This window comes from Homo sapiens, chromosome 8 (assembly GCF_000001405.40).
Source record: "Homo sapiens chromosome 8, GRCh38.p14 Primary Assembly".
Classification (NCBI taxonomy): Eukaryota; Metazoa; Chordata; class Mammalia; order Primates; family Hominidae; genus Homo; species Homo sapiens.
In genome coordinates, this window is record NC_000008.11 from 61,508,051 (window position 1) to 61,533,989 (window position 25,939).

The 25,939-nt window shown below is 40.3% G+C and overlaps 1 protein-coding gene across 72 annotated transcripts in view; it reads right to left on the minus strand.

Moving 5' to 3' along the window:
* Positions 1-25,939, minus strand: part of ASPH (aspartate beta-hydroxylase) — a 214,037-nt gene that overhangs the window by 7,495 nt on the left and 180,603 nt on the right. For 57 of the 72 annotated variants that reach the window (NM_001413901.1, NM_001413909.1, NM_001413895.1 and 54 more), the window contains 3 exons: positions 17,927-18,062; positions 9,982-10,073; positions 9,478-9,611 (listed from right to left, as the gene is read on the minus strand). In NM_001413901.1, coding sequence (NP_001400830.1) covers positions 9,478-9,611; positions 9,982-10,073; positions 17,927-18,062 — 362 coding nt within the window. Of the gene's footprint in view, positions 1-1,942; positions 2,024-9,477; positions 9,612-9,981; positions 10,074-17,926; positions 18,063-25,939 lie in introns of all 72 variants that reach the window. The other 15 variants (NM_001413859.1, NM_001413847.1, NM_001413844.1 and 12 more) reach the window with 2 other exon arrangements.

Sequence of the window (25,939 nt, forward strand, 5' to 3'; positions counted from 1 at the left end):
GTCACCCAGGCTGGAGTGTGGTGGCACCATCACAGCTCAATGCAGCCTCCGCCTCCCAGGCTCAGGTGATCCTCCCACCTCAGTCTCCCGAGTACCTAGGACTACAGGTATGTGCCACCACATCCAGCTAATTTTTGGATTTTTTTGTAGAGATGGGGTTTCCCCATGTTGCCCAGGCTGCTCTCCAACTCCTGGGCTCAAACAATTCTCCTGCTTTGGCCTCTCAAAGAGTTGGGATTACAGGTGTGAGCCACTGTTCCTGGCCTTCTGTTAGAATTTCTTACCACTAAGAGAAGAAAGTCTCTCTCTGGGTTGTCAAAAGATATAAGAATATCTCGTCCTAAGATAAAACAGTATTCCATAATCTGTCAACTTCTCAAATTATTATAATTATAAATAATGATAATGATAAAATGGTGGCAGTGCATATTTAATAACTATAATTTGGTCACAGAATTACCATTGATATTAATAAGGCTAAGTAATGATACTAGGTGCTTATAGAGTCTTCTACCTACAAATTTTATAGATAATATCTTAGCTATCTTTGCTAAAATGTTCTGAGATAGGCAAAGGACATGACTGTGATTTTCACGCAAAGGAATCACATGGAAACAGGTTCAGATGTCTGCAGTGACACTGTGATTCTGTGGCAGAAGCAGAAAGTCATTACAGCCCAACACATTGACTTAAGACCATGGTCAAGAGACATTCTTAGTGTCTGTAGATGACATGCTGAGGTGGCCTGCAAGGCATGAAACAGGCTGAGTTGAAAACAGAAAAGGGTCAGAGAGCTCAGGAATAAGGATATTTGACACAGCTCTTACTGTGTCAATAAGAATATTTGACACAGCTCTTACTCATTCTGATCTACTGAAATTCCCCAGTTCAGACTCCATTGAAAGCCCTGGGATGGCACACACTGTAAGCAAAACGTAAAACTGCATTGTCACACTTCTTCTTCTCTCTCTCCCCTTCTAACACACACAAACAACTTCTGCCTTCCTCCTCTTAGTTCCAGGTCACCAGTATTTAAGGGGTTTGTAACTCAGATGAAGGCACTGAAGGAGGAGGAAAAAGAAGGGGAAAAGGGAAAGAAAAAGTCATAGTGTTACTGGAAAGGAGCCCTGATCCAGAGCCCAAAAGAGGGTTCTTGGATCTCAAACAAGAAAGAATTCAGGGCGAGTCCATGGAGTAAAGTGAAAGCAAGTTTATTAAGAATGTAAAGGAATAAAAGAATGGATACTCCAATGGCTACTCCATAGGCTGCTGGTTGCCCATTTCTATGGTTATTTCTTGATTATCTGCTAAACAAGGAATGGATTATTCATGTCTCCCATTTTTAGATCACATAGGGTAATCTCCTGACATTGCCATGGCATCTGTAAACTGTCAAGGCGCTGGTGGGAGTGTAGCAGTGAGGACGACCAGAGGTCACTCTCATGGTCATCTTGGTTTTGGTGGGTTTTAGCCGGCTTCTTTACTGCAACCTGTTTTATCAGCAAGGTCTGTATGACCTGTATCTTTGGCTGACCTCCTATCTCATCCTGTGACTTAGAATGCCTTAACCATCTGGGAATGCAGCCCAGTAGGTCTCAGCCTCATTTTACCCAGCCCCTATTCAAGATGGAGCTGCTCTGGTTCAAATGCCTCTGACAATAGGGCTGTAGAGATGGGATGCCTTCCTCCTTTCCCCTACCTCTCCAGTTCCAGGGTAGGGGCACAGAGAGAAAAAGGAGAGATGTGAGTAGGGGGGGAGGGTCTCTGCTGCATTCTTGTCACACCTCCCTTCTCCAGGGTCCCTCCCAGCTCCAGGCCTATCAAATCACGCCCCTATCTGTACCATTCCTTCACCTGCCCTGGCCCACATGACCAGCTCCTATTTCACTCCTCCTTCCTAACTCCTTAAAGTCCCTTCCCCCATCGCTGTCAAAGTACTCACTCCAGGCTGTAAGCACCACCTCCAGTGTTATGAGAGTGCTTGATCTCACTCCCTGGAACGTAAGGACAGAAGTCTCCATTTCTGCAGCAATCAGACAGGAGGATAATAAAAGCTCAAATATACTGAGTGCATTTACCACACAACACTTTATAAATACAGTTCTGAGTGCATTCATATGGATTACTTTAATACTCAAAACCATACAAAGACATACTTTTACTCTTCCTAATATACAGATGGGGATATTGAGGCTTAATGAGGTTATGTAAGTTGTATAGAGTTACTCTTTACAAGAGGGAAAGCCAGGATTTGAACCCAAGTCATGAGACTTCAATGTTCTGAATATGTTTTTATGAAGATACATAACACTAAAATCTGAAATAAAAGCTCAGGATGCATTTTTTCCTGCAGAAACATTACTATAAATAGTCACTGGTTCTAGAGCCCTATTAATAAAGATTATTAGTTAAAAAGCTTCTGGGAGCTGACCTAGAAACCACCACACATCATTTACTATTGCCAGAGAAAAATGGATCCCACCTTTTCACCAATCGGTTCAACAAACAAATGTTTGGAACATAATCCATTTTCCATATGGGAAATGCCATTCCCTGTGGAGGTAGAGAAATGTATGTGTGCACTTTCTATGTACTCATGTGTAGGAACAGCCACAGACACACCATTGGGTCACAGAGCAGGGGTCAAGACATGGTATGGATGTGTTTAACTCACCAAGTTGCTCAAATGAAAGAAGAGGAAAAAATGTTACTATTCAACAACAAACCTTCAGGAAAACATCCTATCTGGTTAAAAACTGTCCTTTTTGTCCTAGATGGGCAGGCTTCAGTGATGACCTGTGGATAAGGTCACACTGCAATGCAGATGAAGATGGGAGAATATCTTGTGGAACAGAAGGTTTATGATTTCAGGGAGAATAGTAAAAAAAGGAGAAAGGAGGGATGAAAATATTTGGCTCTAAATGATTTGGTAAATTGCAGCTTCCACATGTGATTCAAAAATTTTAAGACAGTCTTAAAATTATCTCCTTGGACACTTTATGAAAACTAAACAATTATTGTCTATGAGGAATTCATGATGAATTAAAAAAATTAAGTCTCTCTTACTGTTAATATTTTAGCATGACTTTCACACAATCTTCCTAATTGGAACCTTGAGAAATGAATGAAAATATATGTTATAAAATACTTGAGGTCTATGGAGGAAGGCCATTATTTCTACAGCAATATAGAATTCTATAGGATTAAATGATTGATTGCCAATTCATTTTTTCAGTCTGTCGCTAAGTGACGCTAATGTAGATGTGTGCTTTCCTGACAACCTATCAGTCTTGTTCAACATTTCAGGCTAGTAATTGGCAGGCAATAATGCTGAATCTGCAGGAGAGCTCCAAGGTCACGGTTCCTTCTCTTAGCACAGTTCCAGCACATTGTGGAATGCCCTTGGAGATTCAGAAGAATGAATTTCTCTCTGGGATCATTCAAAGCTCACAAACTCAGCCACCTCCTGAGTATAATAATTAATTCCCACTTGCTGGGGACATGTTTATCCCCTGACTCAGGTTTACTCAGCTCCGGATCAAAATTGCTAATGAGCTTATCTTTCTTTTTGAGATGAAGTTTCACTCTTGTCACCCAGGCTGGAGTTCAATGGTGTGATCTCAGCTCACTGCAACCTCCACCTCCATTATTCAAGTGATTCTCCTGCTTCAGCCTCCCAAGTAGCTGGGATTACAGGCATTAGCCACCATGCCCGGCTAATTTTTGTATTTTTAGTAGAGACTGGGTTTCACCATGTTGGTCAGGCTGGTCTTGAACTCCTGACCTCAAGTGATCCGCCTGCCTCGGCTTCCCAAAGTACTGGGATTACAGGTGTGAGCCACCACACCCGGCTCTAACGAGCTTATTTTACAGACCACAAAGCATGGTCCCCCTGAGGTGACATGAACAGAAGGCCCAGAAAGGGAAACTCCCAGCTGCTTTCTCTACTTGTCTGGAAACAAAACCCAGCATTTGAAGTGATCACCTTATAAGTACAGCATGATCCTAATTTTATAAACTACAACAAAATCCAAAAAGCCCAAGCAAGGCTATGTGATCATGTCTAGAACACAAACTTTCAAGCCAGAATGCCTGGGACTGAACCCACTACTAATATTGTAGTGGGCTGAATGTCCCCATAAGCCGCCCTGTCCCCCTTCCCTGCTAAAAACGATAGATCCATCTGGAACCTGAGACTATCACCTGATTTGGAAAAAAGATCTTTGCAGATTGAATTAAGTTAAGGATTTTGAGATGAGATCAACCTGGATTAGGGTAGGCCCTAAATCCAATGATAAATGTTCTTAGAAAAGAAAAGAGGAGAAGACTCAGGGAGAAAGCAATGTGAACACAGAGGCAGGGACTGAAGTGACGTGTCTATAAACCAAAGAACACCAAGGGCTGCCAGCAGCCAGAAGCTAGGACAGGGGAACAGATTCTCCCTTAGAGCCTCCAGAAGGAACAACCCTGCCAACACCCTAATTTTATACTTTGGCCTCCAGAACCACGAAATAATACATTTCTGTTGTTGTAAGTCATTCAGTTTGTGATAATTTGTTGTGGCAGCCTTAGGAAACATATATAAATGTCAGCCTCAGGCAAGTTACTTATCTTTATACTTCAGTCTCCTCCACTGTAAAACAGGAATTTTAATAATCCTAATTATACAGGATTGCCATAAGCATGAATCAGTTAACGTATGTAGAGTGCTTAGAGCTGTGTTTGACACAGATATAATTTTGGAACAATGTATATTATTACTATCATCATTATCATCAATACACATATATAGACATTGAGAAGCACCTGGCAATAGCTCTGGGTATTGGGATAAAACAATACATTTTTATTGAGCTTCTCTGTGTTATACAAATTATGTGTGAGGGACGTGTATCAGTTTTCTAATCAGAAGGCATTTATTAATTTGAAATAATAATTTCATTTACAGTGGTAAGGGCTGCATACCTGCCAGTTCATCCTCAGAGAGCTATGCTACGCTTTGCAGGGATGGAATATTTAAACAGTATACACACTGGTGGAAATCTTAATCCGATTATTAATACCTGAAAAGAACAATGTACAAATTGCTACAGATAACCTCCTCTTTTAGAAGTTGAGACAGTCTGAAAAATTGCTGCCTTTGGCTAGCACAAGGAAACTGATTTCTTGGCATGTGTGTTTTTCTTTCCATGCCAAAAGTACTTCTACAATCATAGCACAGAACTTCCAGATTTCATACTAGACTCTTTCTGTCCTCAGAGTTTATAAACTGTCTACTATCAGATTTCTAGCTCTTTTCACTGGAAGCATTGCACAGCACTTTAATTGACCCATTTCTCTTATGAAAAGCACTATTTTGTAATGAAGTGCTAAGCCCAACTCAACCACCCTTGAATTAAGAAATATTAAGGATGAGAATGTAACACAACATAAAGCTGGTAAAATAAAAAGAACGTGGAGAAGGGCTGCTGACCAGCAGTCATGGTGAGGCAGAAGGACCCCTGTGCTCAGCAACTCTTCAGGGAGGAGAGGACAGAAGCATTGCAGTCTCCCTGGCCCAACAATAGGCAGGTGAGTTGCAAGCACTTTTAAATAATCACTGTGGATTTGCAAAATACATCGTCTGCAAATTATTATTATCAGCAGCTCCATCCTGTCACACAAAGTAGGTTGTGTTTTACCTCAGCAGAAACTGAGGGGCTGCCAAGTTAATATTCTCATTCAAGACCCCCCTCTGAGTAGGCTGGAGTGGTCCTTCTAACCCTCCTCTGCCTCTGCTAGGTGAAGATGGTTAACCTAATTATGTTTTAAGCTTTAGGGGAGGGGTTGGTGGTTGTTTTCTTTATCAAGCATGGACACAAGGTGTTTGCTGGGAGCCTGGGGTGGGGAATGCACCTACAAATGTGCTCCTGAGGCAGGTCTCCCAGCATCACTCCTGCATTTGTTTTTTTGTTTTTTTAAAGAGATGGGGTCTCACTATGTTTGTTGGAGTGCAGTGGCGCAGTCATGGCTCACTGCAGCCTCAAACTTCTGGGCTCTGGTGATCCTCCTGCCTCAGCCACTGGAGGCCCATGCCACCATGCCCAACATGCATCTTAAGCCCTCTGTGACTTTGTGCTAAGCCTCCTGGCACCATCCACCTGCTCCCATTCTTGGCTGCCACACCCATTCTTCCAATCTTGGCTTTCTCTTTCTGCATCAGGCTACTGAAGACTAGGCTCAGTTCCATCTCTCTTCCTCTCCCTGCCTATGCCTAAGTAGATTTTTTTTTTTTTTAATTTTAGACAGGGTCTTGCTGTCACCCAGGCTGGAGTGCAGTGGTGTAATCACAGCTCACTGCAGCCTTGAACTCCTGGGCAATTTTTTAAAAGTTGTTTCTGTGGCTGAGCGTGGTGGCTCATGCCTGTAATCCCAGAATTTTGGGAGGCCCAGGCAGATCACAAGGTCAGGAGATCGAGACCATCCTGGCTAACACGGTGAAACCCCGTCTCTACTAAAAATACAGAAAATTAGCCAGGTGTGGTGGCGGGTGCCTGTAGTCCCAGCTACTTGGGAGGCTGAGGCAGGAAAATAGTGTGAACCTGGGAGGCAGAGCTTGCAGTGAGCCGAGATCGCCCCATTGTACTCCAGCCTGGGCGACAGAGCGAGACTCTGTCTCAAAAACAAAACAAAACAAAAACAAAAAAACTTGTTTTTGTGGAGACAGGGTCTTACTGTGTTGCTCAGGCTGGTCTTGAACTCCTGGCCTCAAGCAATCCTCCTGCCTTGGGCACCCAAAGTTCTGGGATTATAGGCATGAACCACCTTGCCTGGTCCTAAGTGGATTTTTCTCTAGTGATTTTGTTCCAAGTATCTACAAGCAGAATATAGAAGAGAAGGAGGAAGGCAGGAAGGCAGGGAGGCAGGAGGCGGGTGGACAGGGAGGGAAGGAGGGAGGGAGAGAGGGAGGCAGGCAGGCAGAAAGGAAAGAAGGGAGGGAGGAGGAAGGAAAGAAGGGAGGGAGGGAGGGAGAGAGAAAAAATAGGAGGTAGGAGGTGAGGGAGAGAGCAAGTGAGCTGGTGAAAGAACAAATAGGCTGTAAAAGCCTAAGAAGCACTGAGGCATGAGGCTGGGTGCTCTTCTCCATCTCCACTGCCTCATGCTCTCATGTGATCTCCAAGGAGTTACCTTGTCAATCTCTGCCTGCTCCAGCATTCTCCAACCTCCTCTCTGAATTCCTTGCATCCTCCAATGTGTCCCTGCTCCTTTTCACTTTGGCAGAGAGACCCTGAAGACCCAAACCGAGTTCCCAGTGTAAGACAAGATTCATTCCATGCCTGAAGAAACTTCTGCCTGTCCAGTGATCCCTGATTCCTCCTCCTGGTCTACCCGATTTTGCCTTTCTTGCCCCATTTCCTTCTTGGTTCTCCTTCCTCCTTCCGTCTTCTAAATACAGATGTTTTCATGGAACCTTTTCATTTCTGTCATCCTTCGATTGTCTCAAGCTTCCTCTAGAAGTTCCTGATAAGTCTGACTCTCAAATCTTTATCTCTAGACTTACCTTCTCCCCTGAGTGCCAGGTCTCTATTTCCAGCCACCTCCTGGATGGTTCTACAAGTGTGTTCCAATAGCAACTAAATAAAATACATAAGCACTAAATTCATCTTCCTTTCCTTGAACTTGCCTCATGCCTCCCAAATTCCCAAGGTTTGCTCAAGCATCGCCACCCTCCACTGTCCAAAGACTGCAATTGCAGCAGCATCTTGGATGCCCCATTCCTGTATCACACATTCAAGAGTCACCTCTTGCATCTGCTCTCTAGTCTCCATTTCTTTCCAGCATCCCAATTCCAGCTCTGTTTATCTTTTGGGTGGGCTGCTGTGACAGCCTGCTAATTGTTCTTCCCACTGTCCCCATAGGATTCACCCATGGGTTCCACAGTAACTTCCTAACAAAGGTCTGATCCCATTAGTTTGGGATTCAAAGCCTCCTATGATTTAGTTTCTAAAAGACTCTTTCACTTTGCAACCTTATTCTTTATGTACCATACACTGCTGGCTGCTGAATTATTATTCAATATTCTTCATATGTGGCCATAATTTTTGGCCTCTGTGCCTTTAATGGATACTGTTCCAGAATACCCCTCTTTAGCTTTCAATGTCCGAATCCTTCTTGTCTTTAAAAACCACCACTCTGCAAGTTGAGTGTCTGTGAGCAGGTGAGGCTCCTGCTCATGGAGCCATCTGTAGTATTTTTAGCTTATCTGTAGAGAGGCCATCTGTAGTACCTCTTCTATGACCACGGTGGCCTTCAATCTTGTGTTATCTTCCTGAGCAGACACACCTTGCTAGGTGTCCTCAGAAGAGGACGGCCCCTTCTGAGTCATCTCTGAATTTCCCACAGCACCATGGGCTGCCCAGGGCAGTTATCTGCCAATAATCAAATAGACAATTCTGCAGACCCCTGAACACTCATCCTCCACTCAGACCTCTACTAAGAACAATAAGAAATGTGTAAGACAACAATAACTTGCTTTCTGATCTCCAGGAGCTTACATACAGCTTGCTATGGAGATAAGGGTAATATATATTAATGAATAAAGAGTAATAGAAGATAGGAATGGGATTACTGAGGATATATACTCTGAGAGGTTCTATTTTTATAAAACTAAATTGGATCTTAGTAATAGGTTTATTTTGGACAGGTGAAAAGACGGGCATTCTAGGGACAGAGATTATCAGCATCATAGGTACAGAAGCCAGAGCAAGTATGGTTTGTTCAAAAGATCATGAATAAACATGTCAGGATTAGGAAAGTAACACGCAAGGGAGGGAGAGGAGATCTAACATTCATCACGTCCCGACTGATACCAGAACATGGACTGAGCACCTTATAGGCATTATTCCAGTTAATCCATACAACAACCCTGCAAAGTAGATGTTATCACTGCCAATTTTATAAGCAAGAAGGCTGATGTTTGAAGGGATTAAGTAACTAGCCAAGGTTACACAGGTTAGGTGTTAGAGCTGGGATTTGAAAAAGGCAGCCAGCTTCCATTGCACCATACCATCTCCTCTATATCAAAACGTATAAATATCATGGGGTGAGTTCTTCAGTTAGGGGTACTTCTTGTAGTCATGAATAAGTCAAGTTGCAAAGCAGGAAGCACAATGCATAACATCTGCAGGGCTCAATGCATGTTGGCTGACTCTGAATGCACATCTGTCTACCCAGAGAGAGAAACAAGGCAGCTCCTCAACTAGATAAGTACTCTGCCGAGAAATAATGGAGGAGGGCAGCCCTAGAGCTGGGCAATGTCTCCAGGCTAATAGAAAGCACCAAGAAGGGATATAGACTTAAGAGTTTGGATTAATATCACTTTGCTCCAGTCTACTTCAGCTACAAAAGAAGATAAGTAATCCAAAGGAACACAACTGTGTTGTAACAAACTCTCATCCTCTGAGGTGACGGATATGACGGATAACAGAGGACCCATACTTGGTCTCGTTGGCACATCGAATCTTGCAGCCTTCCTTGGGAATCACCAAGCCCAGGTGCATTCGGAGCCTGCAGTTTGTGGGCCCTGTGTGCGGCCACACGTGAGTCCCGGGGTGCATGATGGAATATTTGATCTGCATAGAAAACATGACACTCCATTCAGCCATTTATCAAGGTGTGGAGGAACTGCTAAGTTAAGGTGACAGTACAAAATTACTGTCAGTTTGGATTAGAGCCTTTGTAAGATTTAATATTTATATTCAAGTCTTATTTCTTTGTGAAGGAACTAAAAATAAGCACTCACATTTTCCACAAAGCTATAAACACTGAACATTTTCCACCCTCAATTCTGACGTCAACCACATAAAATTATGTTTCAGTAAAAAGGGCATGTAAAAAGAGGCATTCATTGGGCCAAAGGAAACAACCATTTCTTTGTAAAGGTCAACACGCCCTTATTCCTAACAATTAATTGTATTCTCCCCAGCACGACACTCTTGGTACCTGTCCTCTTCTGCATCCTGTTGTCTCGGGGAACTTTTCTAGTAAGGTACAGGTTTTAGGAGCTCCTTTGCAGGCATTTTCATTTCTTCTTCCTAGAATAAATAACATAATTGTTGGAAACAAATCACAGTAAAGCTTAAACTTATCCCATTTAGATGAGGTGAGAGCTATATGTCATCCTCACTGCAGGAATGAGAAGATTGAGTAAACATGAGAAGATGAAGTAGGAATGCAAAAGGCTTATTGGAAATAAATAAAAATTTATCAATAAAGAAGACGTGTCTTGCTCCAATAGGTAGTGACTGGCAGAGCAGGGATCCAAATTCTTCACTCGGTGTTGGACTATTTGACTAAGAATGTCTAACAGACAAGACACAGGTTAAAGGCCTTTGACCTTGAATAACACAGGGATTAGGGGCTTCGATCCTCCATGCATGTTAAGTTTTGACTCCCCAAAAACTTAACAACTAATAGCCTACTGTTGACTGGAAGCCTTACCCTATATCATAAATAGTTGATTAACATATTTTGTATGTTATATGTATTCTATACTATAGTCTTACACTAAAGTAAGCTGAAAAAAAGAAAATGGTATTAAGAAAATAATAAGGAAGAGAAAATACTTTTACAGTACTGTACGGTATTTTATCGATACCATAAGTTTACATCATCTGTTTACAAGATGAATTGAATGTCTGAAATGGCCTGCAACTACAGGTACAGACCTTAATCTACAGTACATATCAATCAATTCAACTTTTTCTTGTAGGGTCATGACTTTTCTCTGCTTCTTGGCAGCGTGTCCATCATCATTAGTTGCTCTTTGTATAGGTCCCATGGTGTTATTCGAGGTTTGCAGCATTGCATTAAACACAAGGAAAAATACACAAGAACCATAAGAGACCACTTTTCACCGTGATATGCAATTTACCAGAGAGAGGAACTGCTCACATGGAGACGACAGTATCACATGGTATTTTAAGCAGATACTGAAAACACTTGAGCTTGCCGAATAGCAACAGGAAGCAGCTATGAAATTATTACAGTAGTATAATCTGTACTACAGTTAATTTAATGGAGTTATGATTTAACACTGCATCTTCATGTTTGTTTACATTTCTCTTGACTATGAATGGTGCTATGTATGGTCTGTAAGTGCTTCCATGCATATGTTGATAAATTTTATTTCTTTATAATAGATTTGTATATATATAGTAAATGATACAATAGATTAGTACCTATATATATTTCATGCATTCATGACATACCTAATTTTTCTTAATTTTAAAAAATATTTCCAGGCTATAAGGTTCATCTGCAAATTTTTTTCAGATTGCCACAAATCTCAAAAAAATTTCCAATATATTGACAAAAATTCTTACATAAGCGGACCCATAACATTCAAATTCACGTTGTTCAAAGGCCAACTGTACTTATTTTTTCCCCTGTGACAGGAAAAATAATAGTTAGCTCCCAAAAGATGTCCATACCCTCATCCCATAACCTGTGAATATGTTGTCTTTCATGCAAGAGGGAATTAAGGCTGTAAGTGGCACTGAGATTTCTTATCAGCTCACATTAAAATAGGGAGATTATCCAAGATTACCTGGATGGGCCCAAGGTAATCACAGCATCCTTAAATGTGGGAGGAGGCAGATGAGTAAGTGTCAGAGTGATACAGTATGAGAAAGACTTGACTGGCCACTGCTGGCTCTGAAGATGGAAGGGGGCCACAAGCCGGGGAATGTGGGCAGCCTCTAGAAGCTGGAGACTCCAGAGGGAATACAGCCCTGGTGACACTTGTATTTTAGCTCAGTGTGATCTATTGTAGACTTCTGACCTCTAGAACTATAAGATAATAAATGTGTCTGTGTTTTAAGCTATTAAGTTTTGTGGTAATTTGTTACACCAGCCACAGGAAACTAATACATCCCCTAAAGAAGGAAAATAGCTTATATTATATTTCTAACTTAGAAATGCATTTCTAGGACTATATTAGTTGCCAAAACACTATTTTTATTGGACTTCAATGTCTTTTCCATATCCAGATCATCCTTTATATGATGATAAAGAATAGGATTTAAATGAAGAAGGCGTCTTTGAGAGGGGACATATTCTATGATTAACTGTCAAGAGCACAGATTCTGGGACATGTCATTTAAGTATCCTGAACTATGCAAATTTCTTTACACTCTATAAAGCCCCTGCTTATTAGGGAAGATGTGCTCAGAATGTACACAATGTCATCTGCTCTAACGGGGGAGTAAAACAATGGGATTTTTAAAAGTCAGAGACATTTTAATTCCCTATTCAAGATTCCTAAAAGAGACTGCTACATCTAAAGCTGAGTTTAATTTTATTTAATTAATGTTAATTGTGTCCTAAGATAATCACATACTGAGAATAAAATAAGAGTTACAAAAAACGCAACTAAAAGGTATTCACCCCAATCAAATGGAGCTCAATGTTTTAGAAAACAACTTAGCTTTTTCTAAGTAACCTTTTTGGCTCTTAATTGAATAAAATGTTAATTGCTATTTTTAGTTATTAATGGAGTTCCCCAAATGAACAATAAATGTCAGTTTGGGTGAATATTACATAAACCTACGAGTCACCGTAAAGTGTTTTTGAGCCTGGGCTTTCCAAGTCTTCTGGTATGCAGGGCCTGGGGCTGCTTGGCAGGAGTCCCCAATTCTGAGCTCTGTGCTGTCCAGGCAGCAGTTAAGTGAAACTGGTGGCTTGGGGAACAACCATAGGTGGCCTGGAGTTCTCACAAGCACCAGGTGGCTGAGCATGTGCTACCTGGAGAACAGATGTGCCTTACCTGAATGACAGGTGATGAATGGGTAACCAAATGGGTTGTGTCCCTGAGATTTTCAAGGAATTAGAGAACACCTCTAGCTCTTTAGACACATTTATCTTTCTGGTCTGTAAACCCAGATTCTCTGTGCAGTAGACTCTGGGCATTCATGCACTGTCACTGGTCATTTTAACTCTTCACGTCTGATCATGAGGGTCCAAGGAATGCAACGGCAGTTCCTTGATGCTCACGACAGGCCAGGAACCACTCTGCATGATGAGAGTGCCTCATTTGATGTCTACAACATGTCATAAGAAGGCTCAATTAGTGTTGTATTTTATAGAAAGGCAATTGAGCCACAGAGGGGTCACATAGCGAACAGCAGAGCAGGAATTTCAATTCAGCCAGACTGGACCCAGTGTTCATGCTCTTAACCAGACCAGAGACCACCTCTCCACTACTGTTATTACATCATGTGCTATTGTTAGACCATAAAAATATAATATTACTATCATATATTGGATAACTGTGCCAAGTCTTTCATCTAGTGCTCACTGATCCTAGTAACAACCCCATACTTGAGGCACTATTTGCCATTTTTCAGATGAGGGATTTGAAGCTCAGAGATTCAGGGACATGCACACATCACACAGCTAACAAGCGGTGCATCCAGGACTCTAACCTAGGATTGTTGGTTTCCAAAGCCTATGCTTTAAAGCATAATTTCTCATTTTGTTGCATTGTAAGTTAGAAGGCAGCTGTGCAGGAGCAAACCAGTTAACTCAGCCTGAAGAGGAATGCCCAGCATCTGCAACTCACTGTGGCTTTGTTGTCGTTTGATTATTTCTCACCAGCGTTAAACTAACCCTCAAGAAGTAATAAACCTTGCTTCTTTGGGAAAATAGCTCTAGAAAGAGATCTAACAGCCAATGCAAATCTGGAAGAATCATTTAAATTTATCACTTCTTACACATGAATATACTTTGTGAGGGCTATTCATGGAACTGATATCCTGGGTTGTATCTTTTATAAATTTCAAGGCTCTGCTTCTGGGGCAACAACAGGTTCCATCTTGCATGACAATTCTGATCAGTTGCTAGCAGCCACCTAGAACACTGCGTTGAGAAGGACTTAGAGGTTCAGCCTCAGCTTATTCAGAAAGGCTGTTGGGGTCAGTTAGCACCTTTCCCATGGGCTCTGGAAGAAAAAAATGACTGCACATGTGTGGCATATTTTAATCACTGTTGGTGGCACTTATTAAGATAAGAGCAAAATAGACGTTCCATAATATTCACATAACAATTTAAAAAGTTATTTTTGGGGAACAAAATCATTATTTATATTTGCTGATTCTGGTTTTTTCCTTCAACTCTAAAAAGCCAGTCCTTTAAAAAAACATAGTTCAGTCCTAATGAAACTACTTGGATACTGTATCAGTTCGCTAGGGCTGCCACAAGCAAATACCACAGACTGAGTGGCTTAAACAACAGAAGTGTATTTTCTCACAGTTCTGGAGGCTGAAAGTCCAAAATTAAGGTGTGGCCAGGCTTGGTTTCTCCTGAGGCCTCTTTTCTTGGCTCCTAGGTGGCCACCTTCTTCTTGTGTCCTCACACGTCATTTTCTCATCCCTAGTGATATGGTTTGGCTGCATCCCCACCCAAATCTCATCTTGAATTATAGTTCCCATAATCCCCATGTGTCATGGGAGGGACCAGGTGGAGATAACTGAATCATGGGGGTGGTTTTCCCCATCCTGTTCTCATGATAGTGAGTTAGTTCTCACGAGATCTGATGGTTTTATAAGGGGCTTCCCCCTTCACTTGGTACTTATTCTCTCTCCTGCTGTCCTGTGAAGAGGTGCCTTCCACCATGATTGTAAGTTTCCTGAGGCCTCCCCAGTCATGTGGAATTATGTGTCAATTAAACCTCTTTTTGGTATAAATTACCTAGTGTTTCTTCATAGCAGTGTGAGAACAGACTAACACACCCAGTGTTTCTTCCGCTTCTTATCAGGGAATCAGTTATATTGGGTCAGGGCCTCATCCTTATGACCTCATTTAATCTTAACTATCTCCTTAAAGGCCCTATCACCAAATACAGTCACACTGGGGGTTAGGGCTTCAACATATGAATTTTGCGGGGTACACAGTTCAGTCCATAGAAGAGACCTACCGTAATTTTACTTCCCAAAACTTCCAGCATCAGCCTTAGGCATTCGACTACCCAGCAGCATGATTTGCTAACTAGACAACGGCTAAATCTTTACTGAGCCAGATATTCATCACCTTTTTCTCTGAATCTGAGTTCTCAATGTGGCTAAGCAAACTGGTCACTCACCTCCCTCCCTATGACGTCCGCCCCTGTCCCTTCCACTCCAGAATTCTTCTCCTCTATTTCTGAACCACAGCACCTGACATGGATGCCATCCTGCTTCAGCATAAGCTACGATAGTACTTGCCATCACACTTATTATTTTCTTTCTTTCTTTCTTTTTTTTTTTTTTTTTGACAGTCTCGCTCTGTTGCCCAGGCTGGAGTGCAGTGGCATGATCTCGGCTCACTGCAATCTCTGCCTCCTGGGTTCAAGTGATTCTCCTACCTCAGCCTCCCGAGTAGCTGGAATTACAGGCACGTGCCACTATGCCCAGCTAATTTTTTGTCTTTTTGGCAGAGATGGGGTTTCACCGTGTTGGTCAAGCTTGTCTTGAACTCCTGACCTCAAATGATCTGCCTGCCTCGGCCTCCCAAAGTGTTGGGATTACAGTCATGAGCCACCACACCGAGCCCCAAATTTATTCTTTAAACTATGAATTTGTTTCTAGAAAATAGTTACTGGATTCCCCCACTAGAAGCATGGAATCACAAACCAAAGACCATAAAGAACTTTAAAAAATCTTCCTAAAAGGGAAACTATGTGAATTTTATCCCTTTATGACAATAAAATAAAACTAGAAATTCAGTTTTAAAATTTGAAGCAGGCTGAGTGGAGTGGCTTATACCTGTAATCTCAGCATTTTGGGAGGCCAAGGTAAGAGGGTCACTTGAAGCCAAGGAGTTCAAGACCAGCCTGGGCAATATAGTGAGACCCTATCTCTATAAAAACATTTAAAAATTAGCCAGGTATGTAGACGCACACATGTAGTCCTAGCTACTTGGGAGGAGAATTGCTTGAGGCCAGGAGTTGGAGCTGTAATGAGCTAGGATTGCACCATTGCACGCCAACCTGGGCAAGAGAGCAAGATCCTGCCAATCAATCAATCAATGTTGAAGCAACTACAACAGATTGGAAAACACATGCTCAATCACACACAGGCACATATACATATAGATCATTTTAAGTCAATGTGGAAACCAGGGCAGAAATGCAGTCTTTTTTTGAAAATAACTCAGGTAAAAATACCATATATTACAGTGTAGGGAATACATCCAAACCTGTAACTGTAGGTCAGTGCATAGCTTTAAATGCTATTATTAATAAGAAAGAATGAAAATAAATTTACTAAGGAATTCCAATCAAAATATTTAAAAGAAAAATAAAACAAAACAAAAAAGAACAGGAGAAGGAAGAGAAAATACAAATTCAGGAATTAGAAAATATAATCATAATCATGTAAGTGAGAAATAATTTTATGAGTTTTTTAAACAACAGGGTAGACACAATTCTATCACATGTAAGAAAGAGAAAGAAAGAACATGTAAATTCCATTCAATGGGAATAAGAATTTAACAAAGATACTAAGAAAGTAAAACACATTCTAAGAAGTTAAGTAGTTCATGGAAAATCAGGTATATTCCACCTATGTGAAAATGTAGAAGACAAAATGTTACCTCCAACAACATTATTGACTCCATAATTTATTTTCTTTCTTGCTTAATGCTTTTTATATCCTATAATACTTTGCATATTAATTTTATCAAATACTTTTTTTTTTTTTTGGCAGAAACTACAGTTTCTAGAAATTAGTGCTAGGATGCCTGCTATTCTGAAGCATTGCTCTAGGAGGCCCAGTAGGTTCTGTGATGCATAAGGATGTTAATGGAATCAAAGTACAAGGTGAACACATAAGTGCCAATAGAATGGACTCATCTTAGTGACATGTCAGAGGTAAATTAGCATATTGCCCAAATATGGATTGTATAGCTCCATTTAAAAAATTCTTGTTGGCAAAAAGTGGATAGACACTTTTCTTTATGGTTCTCTCTCTTTAGATGGAAGTATCCCTGAAAACATTACTAAAGTAGTTCCTCTTATTCTTACATAGAAACCATTCTGAAAGCATAATTGAGATAAACCACTGTCCTTATTTGTCCTTTAGTGTAAATTAGATGCATATTACAATCTGAATTTGTTTTCTGTAGCTGAAGATATGCAGCACGTGCTGTTTAGTCTTCAAAATAAATTTACTTTTATATAGTTATTGTTAATCCAGGCTAACTCCACTTTTCAAGGAGAAAATTGGAGTCTTAAATGCTCCTCATTTTAAAGATAGATGAATATATCAATTCACTGAAAACACACACACACGCACACACACACACATACACACACGCTGGAGCTCCATATGTGTGCCTGTACCTGGGTTAAGCTAAAAAAATATGAAGTTCAGTATGAGCCACTTCCTATTCCTGAAGAGCTGAGACAGCAGTTATTATTGTCTTGTCACTCTGGTGTGTTACCATTTTTACCAGCTGGTGTGTTACCATTTTTACCATCATCCGTGTTGATATCATTTTGCCATGCAACGTCACCTCCATTTTATAGGAGCAAATGATGCTCAGGGACATAACTTTCTAATACACTGATAACACCTGCTAGATTTTTCAGTTATGCCTACACAGTAGGGTTACAGTCAGTAACACATCATTCAACAGGAAAGACCAGAAAAATCAGAACACTATTCATGAATATTTATCCAAATACACACATGGATATACACACACAGCAATATACCTGGACACATACAAATAAGGGCTCAGATGTAGTTTTCAAAAACAATGAATGGATTTCAAAAATCTAGGTTTTTTTGGGCCCCTCGTTTAAGCCTGGGAATCCCAGCTCTGGGAAGCATCACCAGAAGACTCTTGTCAGTACCCACTTCCCATCAGGTTTGGGCTGCAGAGAACCATCTAGAAGTCAGAAACTCACCTTGCTGCCACAGCGTGAACTGGCTCCAGTCCCCTTTTTCCCTCAGGTTTTCATCCTCAGGCAGGAAGAGACCTTTGGCTTTATCCATCACTGCAAGGCCTTCATCTCGGATTAACTTCCAGTTTCTTTCTAAAGACTAGAGGGAAGATTCTGGCTTTACTGGACTGAAAAAGGGCCTGGTGGAGCACCTCATAATGACTCTTGTTTTTTTTGAGGTTCGTCTCAGAAAGGAACTAATTCTTTGCCTTATCTAGATTGCTTATATTTCAATTTCCTCTGGGACTTCTTGTCACAGCTATAAAAACCCCAAATCTCATGACTTTTCCAAACCAAAAGTTTTTATAACATAACAATTTCAATAACTCCTAGAAACTTCACAGAATAACCCTCTCCACAATCTGTTTTGCCTAAAGACTTTTTTTTGAAACCACAACCTAAGAAGAGTACTGATCTTGTTGATCAGATTACATCAGTACACTGTAATAACTTCCATGTGACACTCCAGCCTCTAAACTGGAACAGAAATCACAGACGTAATTTCACCTTTCAACAGAGTTCCTCACAAAGATGCCATTAAAGATGGTCAATATAAGTTAAACATTCAACATATCAGAAGAGTATCCACTGGAGGATTTTTGATATATAACATTAACAGCAAACCAAAACAAATAAATGCACTAGTGTTTAGAATTCAGCCAAACAAAAATATTTCCTTGACTTCTCATTTGTGAGGGAGCCTTAGCCCCTGCCAGAAAGGGAGCTTATGACCAGTAGAGACTAGGAGTGGAGGGGCAGGTGACGGTAGATCCTGTGGAAGATCCTCTGGGCAATCTGCACCATCACACTGGGTGTTGATTAGGAGTGGGAGGTGGGGGACAGTAGGGTGGGTAGGGGAGAAGGCAAAGGTGAGGATCTGAGCAGCAAACTAAGATGGATTTCCATCAGGAGACAAGCATAAAAACAGCTTTCCTACTTCAGGACAGAGACAAAGCTGTACAGATACACCAGAATTTTGAAATGTTAATAATTTCAATCATTTCTGTGTTCTATGAGAAATGGATGAAATAGTTGAGTATATAGATTCATGGACAGGGAGGAACATGTTAGCTGATTTCAACAAGAATCAGGGGCAGATCTATTTTCAGTGACTCAAGAGCATGGGACTAGAACTAATAGGTTACAAACCAAAAAACAGATTTTTATGGAAAAATGGAAAACCAGTAGAATATTCTAAAGATTGATTGAGTTTCTTTGTAAATCATGGTTCTCTATCATTTGAATTGGTCAAGCAAAATGATCAATTATTGGTTAGAGCAAAGCACGAGATAATGTGTAGAGTGTCTTTTTACCAAGTCCTGCTTTATAAACTCATGATTCCACATAAGAAGGTGATATGGAATCAGGATGGCTGCAGAGCCAGAAGGCTGTGATATAGACAGAGATTTATGTGGAAACATGGTGCCAGCCCCAGCCAAACAAGGGAATACTTTTTATATCACATGAAAACACTAGCTATTAAAATATTCTAGGGCAAGAAAGAGATTTTGGTTGATTTTATAATTTTATGATATGTATGCATTAATTTGTGTTAATATTGTTAACGGAAGACCAATGAGATGTGGGGAGGCCAAAGGAGAACTTTATTTTTCAAAAGCAATCTGCAGATTAGGGAGATGCAGCTTTGGAAAGTACACTCCCAGGAAGGGTGGCGGGGGGAAGGAGATGACAAAGGCCAAAACTGCAGGGCAGGGCAGGTGAGGAGTGTTGGGAGCAAGGAAGAATGTTGGCTGGATGGCCTTTCAGCCCCAGATCACCAGTCTCTGGTGGTTAATTGGCTGGTTCCAGGTGGTTGGTTGGCTTGTTGGTGCTAGGTGGTCTTGTTGGTGGTCAGATGGAGGAATTTCCAGTTGTAGTTGTTTTCAAAAACTGTTCTTTGACTTGGTTGCAGAAAAACAAATTCTGAAACACCTTCCAAGGACACAGAGAGCGTGACTGCCTCCTCACCTTGACATGGCCTCTTAGTTCTGCTTTTAACTTTTGAGCCAGAGGGAGTTCATCTTGTTTGCCAACTGGGGGCATAGTTTGACCACATCTACACCTGCTACTACCATTGCCCAGCTTGGCGTTGTCCTGGTCATTTATCCATGTTTAGGGCTCTGTTCCACCAACTAGGTTCCATATTACTTCATCCCAAGTGGGCAGTTCATGAAGAACAGGGCAAAGATCGCATTTCAATAAAGAGACATTCAAAAGCCCTTACTTTGTCAGATCCACAGATTGAGAGCATACAACCATTTTGTAAAAAACCCCAAGACCATGGAAAAGAAAAAAATGCACCCTAGGATTTCGCTGTATGTTCACATCTTCCCAAATGCACCTCAATTGCCAACACTCACTCTGGATATTGTCACTTGTTTAAGTTGCTAGATAAATCTGTTACATTCTTGTTAAATTGACACACAGACAAGGGAAGAATTGCTCCTCTAACACATAAAATTACTTTTCAAATGAGGTTATTGGTGCCTTATAAGGACAACCTATTCCTTTATTCCCTCCTGATATTTTAGAAGATTCTTTTATTTCTTTAAAGCTGATTTAGGGGCATGGTTGGAAACAGCTGATCTTTTGTTACTAAAAATAGGGCACAAAGCCCTAGGGAAAAATGTTAAAGTGATTGCATCACTCAATATAATTTAACATTTTTTACTTAAGAATAGACTATCTTTTATATATGAAACATTGCCCTTCCTGCCCCTTCACCCACAGCCTCCCCTGGGAAGTGTTGCCAAGGTACTTTTCGTGAATAGTAATAATTTTTTAAGAAATGTTTTGGCTTTTCCTTGTTATATGTGGCACACATGTACTGGATGACAGACTCGTGCTCAAAAGGGGCAAACTGGTGCAGAAGGGTCTCTCTGAACACATGCCCTAATATGCCACCAGACATTCTCAGTCCTAACTAGTACTACTAACTCAGTACTATCTAGTCCATTTTGATTATAAAACAGTCGCTTATTTTCTCTTTTGAGTTCAATACTTTCTTACAGAATTTTACATTGGGAAGGAACCATACTGTTAATCTAGCTGAAATTTCTTCAGTTTAGGGATGATGAAATGACTCCTTGTGTGGTTAATGAGCCTAAATCCCACAGTCTGGTGGTCAGCACAGGTGGTGCCAAAACCCCTCTGTACTATCTCCTCCTCAATTAGAGAAGGTCACATTTAGGCACAGGGATTTCAGGCTGCAGTGGACTCAAGGGGCCCTGCTCCCCTCGAGCAAAAGAGCAATTGCGAGGTACCCCAGCCTCCTGGTCTCAGAGATTTACTGGGTACCTGTGACTGTGGGTACTGGTCAGGAGCACTTGCAAGGTGCTTAGAGAGCAACATGCTCCCTGGTGAGCGCCCTGCAGAGGGCATGCCACCAAGACAGTTCAACATCTTTGGCAAATGGGGAAAACTGAGGGAACCAAAAAATCCCACCAGTTAAACCTGATGACATGTGTTTGAAGGCGTTTTCCAACTTTGGAAAGACAAACCAGGGGCCTTTAGGGGCACTGGGGGGAAATCCGGGATGGGACCTAAGAATGCTGTTTTTAAGCACAAACCAAGGAATCACGTAATATAATATTCACATGGTTAGAGGAAATTAAAGATCAATCCTAATTACACTCGGCATGTGTATGTCTATTCAGGACAAAAACAAAATACCATAAACTGGGTAGATTATAAATAACAGATATTTATTTCCCACAGTTCTGGAGTATGAGAAGTTCAAACTCAAGATGTAGGCAGATTCAATTCTGGTGAGGGCCACTTTCTGGTTCATAGATGGTACCTTCTAGCTGCCTCGACAAATGGTGGATGGGACAACCAAACTCTCTGGGGACTCTTTTGTAAGGGCACTAATCTCATTCATGAATGTTTTGCCCTTAAGGCATAATCATCACCCAAAGCCCCACCTCTTAATACTATCACCTTGGGAGTCAAATTTCAATAGATGAATGTGGGGGAGACACAAACATTCAGACCATATCAGCGTATGTGTGTGCAGAAGAGAGGGAGAGGGAGAGAGAATATGAATTTTCTCTACACTAATACCACCCACTTGTCTTCAATGGCAAATAATCCAGTTTTTAGGAAATTCCAACAGAAAACCTGAAGGCTCACAAACAGCAGGCAATGCCTACATTTTTAAAAGCCTCTTCTGAAATATTACTCCCTTGACTCTAAACTCATCTATTTCATAAAACTGAAAGAGAAACTAATTGCATCAGTATTCAGTTGGTTGCCCGAAAGACACCAGTTTCTAATTCCCATTTCTTCTTGTGGCAAAAGAGACTTTAGAAAGCACAGGTTTGATTCTTTCTACGGCAGCACATGGCTTCATAAAGCCATCTCAGCATGTGCCTCACCAGTTACACCTTAGCTATATTTTTCACTCTAGGCATCTATAAATGGCCTTCCCAGTTCTGACCTCATGAATCCCACATCCTGCCCCAGCTCTCCTGAATCCCAGACCTGCATCCAGTTAGGAGCAGTTTCCTCATCTCCCCAGACAGCCTGCTCATGCCACCTGGATGCTGTACTTTTCTCTGTAACATCAAATTAAGTCCTATTTTTAAAATCTTCTCTTAAAATTGACTTCCTGCAGAAAGTCTTTCTTTTGAGAAGCAAACTAAAGCCTAACTCATTTTTATTTAACTATTTTTCTTACTAATGTTTTTGTTCAATTAAAAAATACACATTTTTTAAAGTCAAATATTACTACAGGTCTTATAATGAGAATTGCAGTCTCTTCTCCAACTCTTCCCCAATCCTCAGTATAACTCCCGGCTAATTATTTAAAATATTTCTTCTGTTGTTAACCTGCTTATATCTAAATAGCCTGTTATATTGCTATTCTTGATTTATTAATTTGAGGCATTATCACTCATCTATTATAGAAGGTTAACAATTAAACAATTTAATGTCTTCCTTCTCCATCCTTGTAATACAGTTAATTTCACAAATCTTTCATATCAGTGCAAATTCACATTCAGGTTTTATAATAGTATGACAATCAGGTATCATTCATACTTGAGTTGTAATGATTACACTTCATGTCACATGCAGCATTTTTTTTCTGTCCCCTTTTCATTGGCTTTATTTTGTAATGCACTTCATACTATTTCTTCACTAACTCTGAAAGAGTGCTATTAAATCCCTTGATGCTTTTATTCTACCTTTTGCCAAAAACATTATAAATTGATTACTTTCTTGCTTTTTCTCTTTTTCTGAAGATAACCCTCCCGCAGCCATTTGCCTTGCTCTGATCTGGATCAGTTACTGTCTGAATTTGCTAGATGATGATGGCCATGGAACTCCCCTTGGCCTCTGCCTGGTACTGGGCTCCCTAATTACTGGATTCTAGTTATTCCTGAGGAAGGACACACCACAGGTAAAATTGAATTCTGAAAGTGTCTCAAGCTCTTATACCTGATTGAAGGTTTGAGTGTGTATGGTTAGGTATTTAGGTTGTAAATTTATTTAGTTAGTAAATAATTTTGTTTTATAATTTTTTTCTTGTTATCTAGTGTGATACTATTTTTATTTTAAAAATGTATAGTTGACAGAGATTGAATATATTCAAAGTGAACAAGGCAAAGGGCAATATATATCAATGAGTTGATATACATCTTATAACTGAAAGTTTGTACTCTTCAACCAACATGTCCCCATTTCTCCCACTCCCCACTCCCAGGCAACCACTGCTCTATTCTCTGCTTCTATGAGTTTGACTTTTTTAGATGCCACATATAAGTGATATCATACAGTGTTTGTCTTTCTATATCTGGCTTACTTCACTTAGCATAATGTCCTCCAGATTCATTCATGTTGTTGCATGTGGCAGGATATCCTTCTTTTTAAAGGCTGAATAATATCCCATTGTGTTTATATACTAAAGTTTTTCTTCATTTGCCTGTTGATAGACATTCAGGTTGTTTCCATATCTTGACTATAGTAAATAATGCTGTAATAAACACGGGGGTGCAGATACCTCTTTGAGTTACTGACTTCATTTCCATTAGATATATAATTAGAGTAGGACTGTTGAATTGTATAATAATTCTATTTTTAATTTTTTGAGGAACCTCCACATGGTTTTCCATTATGGCACCAATTTACATTTCCACCAACAGTGTACATGTGTTCCCTTTTCTTTGCATCCTCATCAACACTTGTTACCTCATTTTTTTCATAATAGCCATCCTAACAGGTATGAGGTGATATCTCACTGTCCTTTTGATTCGCATTTCTCTGATGAATAGTGATGTTGAGCACATTTTCATATACCTGTTGGCCATTTGCAGGTCTTTGAAAAAATGTCTACTTAGGCCCTTTGCCAATTTTTAAATTGGGTTATTCAGTTTTTTTGCCATTGAGTTGCATTAGTTCCTTCTATATTTTGGTTATTAACCCCTTATCAGATATATGGTTTGCAAATACTTTCTCCTGTTCCATAGATTGCTTTTTCATTTTATTGTTTCTTTTGCTGTGCAGAAACTTTTTAGTTTGCTGTAGTCCCACTTGTTCATTTTTGCTTTTGTTGTCTGTGCTTTCCATGTCATATCCACAAAATTATTGCCAAGAGGAATGTCTTTTTATAATTTTGAAAGGATTAGTCCATTACATTATAACTTTTAGTGTTGCTGTTGGAAACCTGATGACTTTTAGATTCTCCCTCTTCCTATCCTTCCTTCTCTAGAAGCTTTATAGGAGTCAGGATAGTATAGTGTTTAGGGGTATAAAATTTGGAGCCAGACTGCATGTTTGGAGATCTGACTCTGCCACTTATTTGCTGTGTGATTTGGGGCAAATTACTTATCTCTGTGCCTTAGTTTATAAAGCTTTTCTCAAGAGGCCCTTTAAGAATTAAATGTGTGAAAAGTGCTTGCACTATATGCAAGTATAGCTATGATGATGATGAGGATTTTAAGACCTTCTCTTTCTTTCCTGTTTCTTGAAATTTCATGGCAATATGCCTTAATGTAAAGGCAGGGTACTCAGTGGCACCCTTCAACCTGAAAACTCACATTTTTTCTATTCTGAACTATCTTCTAATATTATTCATTTCTTCATTTCTTCTTCTTTTTTTTTTTTTGCCTATTCTCCCTGGAACTCTTTTTATCTGAATGTCAGCTATGTTAAATTGAGCCTCTAATCATCCTATGTTTTCTATCTTCCATCTTTGCCTTTTTGTTTTTCCTTCTGGGAGATTTCCTTAACTTAGCTTCTAATACTGCTTTAAATTCTTATTTCTGCAAATCACACTTTTTAATTTCTGAGAGCCCTTTCTGGGTCTTCAATTCTTCCTTTTTACAGTATCCCATACTTGTTTTACAGATACACATCTTCTCTTATTGCTCTGAGTATATTAGAGGTATTATTTTGTTTTTCTTTTGTTCCCTACATTTTCTCGATTTCCCACAAGCTACATCATTCTTTTTGTTTTGTTCATCTTTCGTGTTAAAAATCTCCTTAATGTTTCGTGATCCTTGGCTGTCAGTCCTATAAAATTGAGACTACAATTGGACATCTTGTGAAAGGGCAGAGCCTGTGTCTGACAGGCCTCCATGTTGGGTGCATTGTCAAGCCAGTTTGTTTGTTTTTTAATTGGGGATCCTAAAATGTCAGCGTAGATAAGTCTATTCTCTGAGGCCATGCAGTTTCTTGAATTGCTGTAGTACCAGGTGCCTTGAATTTCTTCTTTGGAAGCTTCTCTGTAATTGCTACAGTTTCTGCTGTCTTAGATCTGCCAAATCATCTACTTCTGTTTTCCACTTTCAAAATTACACGCTGACACTGTTCATCTGCTATTGTCTCCCTTTAAAAAATACAATTTGTGCCATTTTATTCTTGTATTGTCATTTAAGTGAGGTTTCAGGTGGGGGGTGCTATTAAATGCATGTGCTCAGTTTGTTTAATCCTTCTTGACTCTTTATTTTTTTGAGACAGAGTTTTGCTCTTGTTGCC